Source organism: Homo sapiens, chromosome 4 (genome assembly GCF_000001405.40).
Source record: "Homo sapiens chromosome 4, GRCh38.p14 Primary Assembly".
NCBI classification, from domain to species: domain Eukaryota; kingdom Metazoa; phylum Chordata; class Mammalia; order Primates; family Hominidae; genus Homo; species Homo sapiens.
In genome coordinates this window covers 43,067,037-43,078,764 of record NC_000004.12, presented here as the reverse complement: position 1 = coordinate 43,078,764, position 11,728 = coordinate 43,067,037, and the positions used below count along the sequence as shown (strand labels likewise).

General features: G+C 39.5%; 1 annotated feature.

Annotated features, from left to right (window-relative positions):
- Positions 7,839-8,133: a silencer, noted in NCBI's record as "tiled region #1727; K562 Repressive non-DNase unmatched - State 24:Quies". NCBI's record gives its function as "represses a minimal TATA promoter and a strong SV40 promoter by Sharpr-MPRA in K562 cells {active_cell/tissue: K562}" and the evidence as "EXISTENCE:reporter gene assay evidence [ECO:0000049][PMID:27701403]".

Below are 11,728 nucleotides of genomic sequence, written 5' to 3'. Positions count from 1 at the left end.
AAGCTTCTCTTGAAGCGCATTAACCAACTTTGTTGTTGTTGTTGTTGTTATTGTTGTTTTTGAGATGGAGTCTTGCTCTGTCACCCAGGCTGGAGTGCAGTTGCGTGATCTCAGCTCACTGCAACCTCCACCTCCCGAGTTCAAGTGATTTTCCTGCCTCAGCCTCCCAAGTAGTTGGGATTACAAGCATGTACCACCATGCCCAGCTAATTTTTGTATTTTTAATAGAGACAGAGTTTCACCATGTTGTTCATGCTGGTCTCAAACTCCTTACCACGTGATCTGCCTGCCTTGGCCTCCCAAAGTGCTGGGATTAAAGGCATGAGCCACTGCATCCATCCACATTAACCAACTTCGTAATAAAAGTTATAAACGTTATAAAAAGGCTTATGGAAGTTACATTTTATAATCAAGATTAAATTTTATAGATTGTTTACAAAATTTTGAAAAACAAATGTAATTGGCTTTATGCTGCTTTTATTAGGGTTTCTTATTTAGAAAATTAAGTCTCCTCTCTCAAAGAATGAAGGTTTTTGCTTTTTTTTAAAGTGCTTGAATTATCGCTTTGGTTAAATAAATGACTTTATGATGATCTGTAATCCTATTTTGTAATATCAAGTGTTTTAAACCTTTTATATTTGACAAACTTTCCAAAATCAAATTATAAATTATGTCTTTTTCTAACCTAATTAATTCTTTAAGACATTAGGTTCCCTAAAGTCCAAAAATGACATAATTTGGCTTATTTGATATAACAGTTATACACAAAGTATTGTCAAATATGAAAGTGTGTTTGGTTTTCTTTGGGCTGTATTTGTTTAAATATGTTACTGGTATGTGTTCCAAAATTATTGGAAACTCCTGCAATTCTGATATAACTTAGTGTGCATTATCAGTAATAATCATAATTGTTATGGTAAAATTATTGTGTGCCACAGAGGTAACAAATTTCTTTGTCAATTGTGTCTTTTAACTATGAGTGCCTTAAAACCTTTATTTATCGACAGATAATTGTCTTTTTTTAGACCCTCTTTGAAAGGTGGGTTTATAATCAGCTATAGGACACTAACAGGTGCACTTAAATGCAGGTTTTCTGGTAACTTTGGTACTTGTGATATTGGAATAAAGGAAAAAACTTTCAGAACTCTCATGGAGAGCTGAAATGTTCATGACTATCAAACAAAACAGGAGTTAACTGAATTAACTGAACCAATAGAAAACTGAAGTAATCTTTTTTAATTTTTGCTTAAAATGTTTGCCGATCTTTTGTTTTGTTTTTCAGTCTCAAAACTTTTCTTTTGAGCTATTGACAGCCTTTAATAATTTAGTAAACTCCTATGAACACAATTCAAAGCATATTTGTTTGTTTCTACCTGATTTCTCAAGAATTTGAAAACTATTTGTGAGTATTCTTAACTTACGGCAATACAGCTATTTGCTTCAGTGCAATAAGAATCTGTTTTCACTTGGAACAGGACACAGTTGGAGAAATTGGTTACTTTACCAAGGCTTTGATTAGAATTGTATGCTTTCCTTTAAGGAATCAAACTTGACTTATGGAGGCAAAAAAGCCCTTTGGAAAAACTGGCCTCATATATTTGTGTACATAGTCCCTGTACAGGGTTTCTCACCTGTGGTAAGTAAAGAATGTCACTTTCTGACAGACACAGAAACTCCAAGTTTATCTTGGAACCTCAAGAGGAGAGGAAATTCACCCAACTCATTTGATGGCACAAATCCATGACTGGGCTCAGCTATAAAAAAGTCTTATCTGAGATCCTTTCTATGGAACAAAGTTCCATAAAAGTCAATTTAAAAGCCTATGTAAAAAGTAATTATTCTTGCTGCATTGTATATAAATAATGAGGCTAAGTAAAATAAAGCAAACTAGTCCTATCATAATTTGTCTTTAGTGAAAATGGGAAACTGGAGAGAGAAAAATTATGGTTCAAAACTACAGTAGACCTCTTACTAGATTCTAGTCTTGTCTAATTTTTTTTTTCAATTTTTATTATTTTCTACAGTTTGGACCAAATTCAATTTTTCTTGGCTGCAAATCTTCAAAATAAATGTTTTCAATTTTTTTTCCTTCTTTTTTCCATTTTTCCTAATTTGGAGTCACTGAAAACTAAGCTGTGCTTTCTTGAAACCATGCAAACTGAAGCCAGACAACTTAAACTTCAGAAGAAAATAACAGCAACCTATTTACATACATAAGCCACTTTCATACCTGCCTACTGATGTATGGACCTCAAAGTAATGAGGCCTACATCAAATTTTCCAGGATTATTCTTTTGTTTCTTGTTGTTGTTTCTCCCTTCCTCCCTGCTATTTTCTCCTCACAGGACATGAGACTTCACAACCTTCTAAAAATGAGATTTTGGGACATATGCATCTAGAAATAAACCATCCTAGCCATGAGAGATCAGACAAAACCTGGGACCAGAGACTCATTTTCTTGTAAAATGCTTTCTCCAAAAGATTTTTAAAAAGAAAAGAGAGGAAATGTGAAAGGTAAATATCTTGGGCCCCCGAAATCACTAAGGAAAACTCAAACTGAAAACTGCTTAGGGCAAACCTGCCTCCCATTCCATTCAAAGTCACTTCTCTGCTCACTGAGATGATGCATATCTAATTTGCCTCCTTTGGAACGGTTAATCAGAAATTCAAAAGAATGTAACCGTTTGTGTATCACTTACCTATCTGTGACCTGGAAGCTCTCTCCTGGCTTTGAGTCTTCCTGCCTTTGCTTCAAATTGTCCCACCTCTCTGGACCAAACAAATGTACTTCTTGCATATATTGATTGATGTCTCATATCTCTCTAAATGTATAAAACCAAGCTGTGCCCTGACCACCTTAGGCACATGTTGTCAGGACCTCCTAAGGCTGTGTCACAGGTGCACCCTCAACCTTGGCAAAATAAACTTTCTAAATTAACTGAAACCTGTCTCAGATATTCTGGGTTCACAATGAAAATACAGATCTACCAAAAGTCACCACATGTCATCTGGGAAATGCCAAAACTCATATCTTGAAGCCTAATCCCCAATGTGATGATATTGGAGGTGGGGCCTTTGGGAAGTGTTTAGGCCAAGAGGTCATGAGCCCTCCTGAGTAGGATTACCTCCCTATAAAGGAAACCCCAGAGAGCCCCCTTACACTTCTATTATGTAAAGACTCATCAAGAGGACAGCTCTACATGAACCAGGAAGCTGGCCCTCAATAGACACTGAATGTACTAGCAACTTAATCTTAGACATTCCAGCTTCCAAAATTGTGAGAAATAAATTTCTGTTGCTTATAAACCACCCAGTTCATGATATTTTGTTATAGCAGCCCAAATGGACTAAAACAGATATATTTATGTGTTCTTGTACATTCTGCTATATCTTCATTCATTTAAGTGGTAGACAGTTTGTTCTATATGTCTTTGCTTAAGGGAAATGTTGTAGCAGCACTGAAAGCCAAAGTTTTATCTGAAAGATATCTCCCTTCTTAGCTCTTGTTTCCCAAAACCAAATCCCCTTGCTAGGAACAACGCTCAAAATCCTAAAGAAATTGAGCACTTGAACAAAGGGTTCTTAGCAAAGCAATTTTAGTTCTTCGCAGAGGGGTGCCTTGTTGGCCAGTCGCCACGAGAGCACACCTGAAAAAAAGGCACAAGAGCCTTTATTCCTGATGCAAGTCCTGCCCCTGTACCCTTTCCCCACTGGCCGGGTTCGGGTCGTACAATCTAAACTAATGCCGGTTGGCTAAACATTTGACATTTTTTAGATAAGGTGGGCACGTAAAAGAAAGTGGAGAAGAAGGGGAAGGGGTGTCTGTAAAGAGCTAGAAAGCTAGTCCTCTTTCCAAATAAGGAAAGGAATGTGAGCTGGTACTGATAACGCCTGGTACTGTGGAGTGCCTGGGCATCTAACAAAGGCAAAAAGGAAAAAAAAAAAAGGAGAAAAAGGAAAAAAGGGAGGGGGTACTATGAATTAAAGAATAAAAGATTGATCAGATTATTTGAAGAGAAACCTCATCATATCCCACAGCTTCCCTCTTTTCCTTCTGTTATAACTCTTTCTCTTCAAATCTTTTTAGCATAATTTGGCTCCGTTGTTCTACTTGGTTTTCCAGGAGGAAAAGCTTATTTGAATCAGGGGGAGGAGGATCATAAGAAGTTTTAGTGAGAGCTGTTACAATAATTCTTTGTATTAATCCCCAGGCACAAGGTATGATGCAGCATCCTATGAGAATAAGCAACCCTATTCCAATGGCCAGAGAGATGAGGATTGAGGACGTAAGTCCCTTCCATCTACTGAACCAATTTCCCATTAAATTTGTGCAGGAATCATTTAGTCCAGAATTTTTGGCTAGCACATTTGATAGGGCAGTAAGACCCTGTAATGCTTTACTTATGGTCCCACTGGGAGCAGTGTTATTAGGGATATAAGTACAGCATTGGGTCCTGATCATGACACAAATTCCACCTTCTTTTGCTAGTATCATGTCTAATGCTATCCTGTTTTCCCGGGCCATTTGACTGGCGGGTCCTAATTGTTCAGCTATTCCTTTAATAGCATCTCTAGTATAATTAATAAATCATTGCTGATTGTAATAATTGTAATTTATCCAATTCACATTTTTATTTACAGTTAACCACCAGAAGAATGTAGATTCAACTCCAGAAGTTATTTGGTTTCAGGCCTTAAATTCATTTGGCACTCCTCTTGGGACCCCAGTGGCATCTATATAAACATGAGAATTGAAGGACCCATGGGGGCCCTCTCTTGTTTGACGATGTTTGGTTCCTACCCTCTCTGGTTGATGAAATGCCAGTGTGAGATGGATGGCCAATTGAATTAGAGCACAAATTCCACTCCAGTTACTTGGCAGAGTGTCCAGTATTGGTCCACCACAATACCACCACGCATCTGCTCAAGGATGGCTAAGTGCAGACTGATGGGTAAGCTCTTGGAAGGGCATAAGCTCATTGCATCCCGTTAAGGCTCCCAGGAAAGCCAAGTTCTCTCCCTGTCATGAGAGACACGAAGTAAAATTGGCATTGGGAGATGGACGCTGAATGGCCCTTGGGGGCCGACCCACAGGGTGTTTAACTTCAGGGAACAGCAGAGAAAGAGCTTGGCATGATTTGTTGCCCCAGGCTGAGGAGTTTGGGAAAAGAGCTGCCATACAGCTCATGCCCAGTCGGCTGGAAGACAATCCAAGTGGAAAGGGGACAATCTGGGCCTATGGTCTACCATGTGCACAAGCATAACATTCACTTTTGTTTAAAGTGTGAACGGAATATTTAATCCATTCCAGCCAAGCATTTGCATCTTGATACCCTGTCTCTAGAGCTATAGTTAGCCTTAAATTTTCTACCTTCACAACCGTTACCTTGGTTGGGTCATTTTGGAGATGGTAGGAGGATGTTGAGCTCGCTATACTTGGGGAGAGCGTTGGGTTCCACGTGTCTCCCAGACTTTGGGTCTGAACTCTTTTATTATTGTTAACCAGTGGTTTAACTAACCTTAGGGAGAAGATTCCTATAGGGTCCTGTCCCTCAACGTCTGCACCTAACCCATATCGTTCGAATATAGAGGGCTCTTGGGCCATTGTCCAGGGATTATTCATAATCAGCAACAAGGGGTTACAGTGTAATGGTTTACAATTTAGTGAGGTGGGACCACGGACTAGTTGGAGTTTTTATTTCAGTCCCCATAACTTATTTGAAGCAGGGGGCTTGGCTGTCCACCCTTTGTACTTAGTAGTCCACCAAACATCCGCCCAGTCACCACAGGGACTTTTTAAGGCTCCACACTTATACTTGCTTGATTCCTTGAGGTATGGACATAGATACTTATCAACACGGGATGGCTTCCTTTGAGCTTGCTCATCTCCACGCGGGATGACTGAACAGGCATCGAACTGAAGAGTTAAAGGATGACTAGCCTGAGTTACATTGATGACAAGATGACCTTCTGTCGAAAAGAAAAAAGAGAATAAACAAGTGATTATTAAGCTCTTTTTAGAGTTAGTTTGGTGGGGGTGGGCCCTGGAGTGACAGTCCATTATTCTGGAGGTGGTCGCGCCTTCTTGACTCGGGTGTGATGAGTCCATCCTCTTTCTACTGTCCAGACTGCAGTCTCAGTAGTTAGGAGCACTAGGTAGGGTCCTTCCCAGGCTGGTTCGAGCTTCCCTTCCTTCCACCCTTTGATGAGAACGTGATCTCTAGGCTGATGCTGATGTGGCGGAAACTCCAGGGGCGGCGCCTGTGCTAGGAGGCCTTTAGTCTTAAGGGAAGAGAAGGTAGAGGATAGACCAAGTATATAATTTTTGAGGAACTGATCCTTTCTTTCAAATGTAGGGATGTTAGCAGTGGAGTGTGTCAGTGACACAGGACCTGGACGCCAGTCATGTGAAATCCACAGTGTGTTGTATTTCCCTGGAGAGAGCGTGCTGCAGCAATGATGCATTGGATTTCCTGCCCACCCAATAAAAGGGAAAGGGAAGCTCAAAGGTGAATTGATTTTAAAAAGCCAGGAAGTGTACTATTTATGTTAGTTTTTGAACAAAGATTCTTACCTGGTTCTACCTCTCTTCTACCCTTTTTCTAGAACACCTTTTGTTAACAACATATTGAATAAATTGCCTGAAAATACTACCTCCTGATCATTGTTATATGTACAGCCCCTAACTCCCTACCCACCCCCAGAGAAGGAATCAAACTCAATTGCTACTTCGTTATTTGTTATCTAGCAGTAACATTTTATTGAATCTACTCCTTCTATAAGGTCACCAAAGAACTTCCTGGCTTGTGGGTTCAATGACAACCTCTGCAAGATGATAACACTGAGCTTTCAACTGTAGTAATTTGGTTATATTAAATATACAGCTCCTACTCTATCCACCCCCAGCATAGAAATCATGCCATATACAGTACTGAGAACCCAGATTGCAGGAAGGAAAGATAAAATGAATGACTGAGAAAATGTACTTCTGTGTACAGGCATGGTGATGAGGAGCAGCTTTTACACCAGAGTGGGAAACTTATCTATATAATATTCTATTGTAACCATACAGTTTTGCCTGAAAAATACATTTTAAAACTTTCTTTTCTTTCTTCTCTTTTTTGACTAGTCTCAAGTTGTAACCTTGAAGCTTACTGCAAAAGCCTTTTTTTCCCCATCCTTAGTCTTAGATTATAGCCTTGAAATGTACTTTCTTTGAAATACCATGTCCCTCTTTTCTCACCATATACTCCCTTACATCATGCACATTTATCTCATTGTATGCTAATCATTTGCTTACTTAGAAGTTCCAGATGCTAATCTTAACACAGACCAAGCATAGAGACCCAGTCGTAAAATCCCAGAGATTATCTCAAGGCAGTTATTCAACAACCTGGCCATTGTTGAGATGATGCCACCCTTCTGAAATGGGAAAGTTCCCTGACTCCCCTAACAGGACGTGGGACAGGGGTGTGGTTCATCTGTTCAGTCGCCACCGCTGCTCAAACCCCTTACAGGAGGGGGAGCACACAGATGGACAGGTGCAGGAGCCCAAGTGGCCATGTGTTACAGTGCACTCTTTTAGCCTTGCTGTCCACGGATGGCTTAACTGTTAACCAACTCAGTGGACTGTCTGTCTTTTTGCAAGGGTCTTATCCAGTGTCCCAGAAGAATCGGGTCACACACAGACTTGAAGAGTGAATGTGTGGGTTTTATTGAGTGGTGGAGGTGGCTCTCAGTGAGATGGATGGAGAGCTGGACAGGGGATAGAGTGAGAAGATGATCTTCTCCTGATGTTTGGCTGTTCAGTGGCTGATTATCTGACCGTCCCCAGCTGAACTCCTCCTGACATTCAGATGCTCCTTCTCTTCTCTCCTGCTCTGCCGTGCTGTTCTGCTACTCGTCAGCCCCTCTGTTTGTTCCCTTGTGGAGCCTGGGGTTCAGGATTTACATGAGTAAAGGATAGGGGGCGTGGTGAGCCAAAAGGCAACTTTTTGGATACGAAAACAGGAATACCTGTTCTCACTTTAGGGCCCCAGGTATCCAGGCTTGGCAGGGGGCGGCCTTTGCTGGGGACCCACCCTCTTCTACCCAGTATTTCCCCACCTCCTGTCTGTATTACTTGCTCCTAGTGGACCATGGCTTCAGATAGCCACCAAAACAAAATATGTACATCCTGTACTCAGCACCCCTCCCTCATGCCTCCCATTTCTAGCTCCCCTTTTTAGCCCTATTCCCCAGCCTAAAGTTTGAAGTGATTCCTAGAGGCATAAGCCAGCTGCCTCCCCCAGTGCTAGCTTTGGAAAATAAACTCACTTTCCTTTCACTGCACTTTGTCCTTGTCATTGGCTTTGCAACTGGTGGGCAGCCAAGCCTGCGCTCAGTTATACTGCCCCTAAAGTTGGTTTAGTGATAGAAATTGCTTATTTTAGAAATAATATCAAGAAAGAAAAAGAAATATCTTGACTTTCTTTGAAATTGAATGATTCAAAAATAAGTTGTCCAGTGATTTCTATTTTGCCGTAGTCGATCCTGAGCTCTTCTTACTAAGAAGGGAGACTTCAGGGACATTATATTTTAGAGTCAATCCTAGTTTGTGATTGGCAGCAAAAAGCTCGTTATTTGCATATCAGAGCCTACTAAATGTTCTTATGGCTTGATGTGTGTGAAGCAGACTGGAAAAAAATGTAGGAAAGATGTGCAGCAAAGTGACAATGACAAAAAAAACAATGCTTTCTATGTGCTAAGTACTTTTTAAAGACTTTATAAGTATTATCTCATTTAATTTAACTGATCAAAAGTTTTAGCAAGAAATTATGTTAGCAACAAGGAGACTTGTTTCTAACATAAGAAACAAGTAAGCTCAACTTTATTTATGTGTTACATAAAACTGTTGCTATTATAGCAACCTTATTTCTTTGTACATATTTACCTTGTGAATTGGTAATATTTTAATAATACCTCACATCAATGAAACTGTTATGAATTTTATTGCACATATAGCTATTAAACTTTAATCTCTTTAGATTTTTACTTAAACAATTAGAAACATTAAATAATATGAACAGACACATTTATAGATAGTGCTCAAAGTCCAAAAGAACAAGGCCTATATTTTTCCTTTTATTCTGGCACATAATATTTAAATACAATACCTCTTTCTTTTCTTCTCAGTGACATTTTGAGATCTGAATCTGCATATAATTATTCTTTTTTTAAAACCCCTGAAATGAAAGCTGAGCTTACAAAAGAATATTTAAATCTAAGAACTTTTGAACAATTTTCTCTGAGTCAGCTAGAAGAAACTTTATTTTATTAATATTTTAATTGTTTTGAATTTTTGACTTCCCAAGGTGAATAGAAGGTCTCTGATATGGGGGAAACAACTGTAGGATGGTACTGAGAAAATCTGTGGCTTAAACAATCAAAGTAAGGTTTTCTAGAATGTTTGGAACTAAAGAATACTAAAATCCAGTTCCTTTCCAGTTCCTTAAAAGCACAGAGACTTTTGCCACCTAAGAGTTTTCCCACAAGCTGCCTCCTCTCCTTAGAGTACCTGCCCCATCCGGAGCCACACCCAATTATTTAACTGCCTAATTTCCACTTATTCTTTTTTTTTTTTTCTTTTGAGACGGAGTCTTGCTCTGTCGCCAGGCTGGAGCGCAGTAGCACGATGTCAGCTCACCACAACCTCTGCCTCCCAGGTTCAAGCAATTCCCCTGCTTCAGCCTCCCGAGTAACTGGGACTACAGGCGTGTGCCACCATGCCCAGCTAATTTTTTGTATTTTAGTAGAGTTGGGGTTTGACCATGTTGGCCAGGATGGTCACCACCTCCTGACCTCTGCCTGCCTCAGCTTTCCAAAGTGCTGGGATTACAGGTGTGAGCCACTGCACCCATTCAATGTCCACTTATTCTTTAAGTCAGCTCAAAAGGCACTTCCTCAGGCAAACCTTTCTTCCTGGTAGATGCTCTAATATAACCATACACTTTCACAGTTTATAATTATACCTTTAGCTATGTACATTTTTATTTATCTCTTTTAACAAAATTGTAAGCTCTACTCCATGAAGTTAAAAGCTGTGCTTTTCTTGTTCCCTGCTCTATTTCTATCATTGGAATGTCTAAAATATAATATATGGACCATAAGTATTTGATAAGAAAAAAATGAGAAAGATAACAGGGATCTTCTAAAAAACTTCAAAAGATTATTTTTTAAAAAATTTATTTTATTTTATTTATTTATTTATTTATTTGAGACAAAGTTTCACTTTGTTGCCCAGGCTGGAGTGCAACCTCCACCTCCTGGATTCAAGCGATTCTCCTGCCTAAGCCTCCCCAGTAGCTGGAATTACAGGCACCCGCCACCATGCCCAGCTAATTCTTGTATTTTTAGTAGAGACGGGGTTTTACCATGTTGACCAGGCTGGTCTCAAACTTCAAACTTCAGGCAATACACCTGCCTCGGCCTCCCAAAGTGCTGGGATTACAGGCATGAGCCACCGCACCCTGCCAAAAGATTATTATTAGTAAAGCAATAATGCAAAGAATATTTTTATTTTCTACAATCCTATATTAATTGGTAAATAATATCAAATTTATTCACTTAACAAATACTTAGCACATGCTACATGCTACACAGTGTGTTAAATGATGGTGCACAAGACATGATCTCTGCACTCAAGATACTTGCAAGTCTATGGGGAAAACATTCAGTAAGAAACAATGATGAGGCACTGTGACAAGTATGACAATAGGATAAGGACAGAGTACAGTGTAAGCATTATAGGAGGGGCAGTAATTCTAGATTCTGGGTCACAAATTATCCCAAAACATAGTGGCTAGAATATTGTGTTAATGTTGATGCATTAGAAGCCTACCATTGAGACACTGTAATCTTCAGAGATTGGGAAAATATTAGAGGTTTCAGATAAGACGCAATGGCTCACACCTGTAATCCCAGAACTTTGAGAGGCCGAGGCAGGCAGATCACCTGAGGTCAGGAGTTCAAGACCAGCCTGGCCAACACGATGAAACCCCGCCTCTACTAAAAATACAAAAATTAGCCAGGTGTGGTGGCGCACGCCTGTAATCCCAGCTACTAGGAAGGCTGAGGCAAGAGAATCACTTGAACCCAGGAGGCAGAGGTTGCAGTGAGCCAAGATTGCACCATTGCACTCCAGCCTGGGTGACAGAGTGAGACTCCATCTCAAAAAAAAAAAAAAAAAAAAGCAATATGCCATTATCCACTCCACATTGCCACATTGTCAAAGATCTAAACAGAACATTTGTAGGTAAGGTGAATAAGCTACAATTGGCCACAATTGTTTATTCACATTCAAGAAGCTATGAAGTGTGTTTTACTGGCTAGAGAGAGATTTTCTGACTGGAAAGAACCAAAATCACAAAGCAAGCAAGGAAAAACAATAAGGATTTAAATAGTAAGATAAATTAATATAGTACTAAAATCTTTTTCAAATTTTTTCTGTTTTATTAAGGGATATTAATGGGGGAAAAATAGGCAGAAAACTATTCTGGTACAATCAGCAATGGCAGCATACAAATTATTGTTCAGCAATAGCCATTGGTGAAGAATTAAACATTTCTGATTTTAAAGTTACAAGCAAAATAGATCTATGTATAAGGATCATAAGCCATGTTAATGAAGAGCCAAATCCCTAAATAGCCTCTGGTGATTTGTTTTCTGTCTTTGGGAAAATTCTTCATAA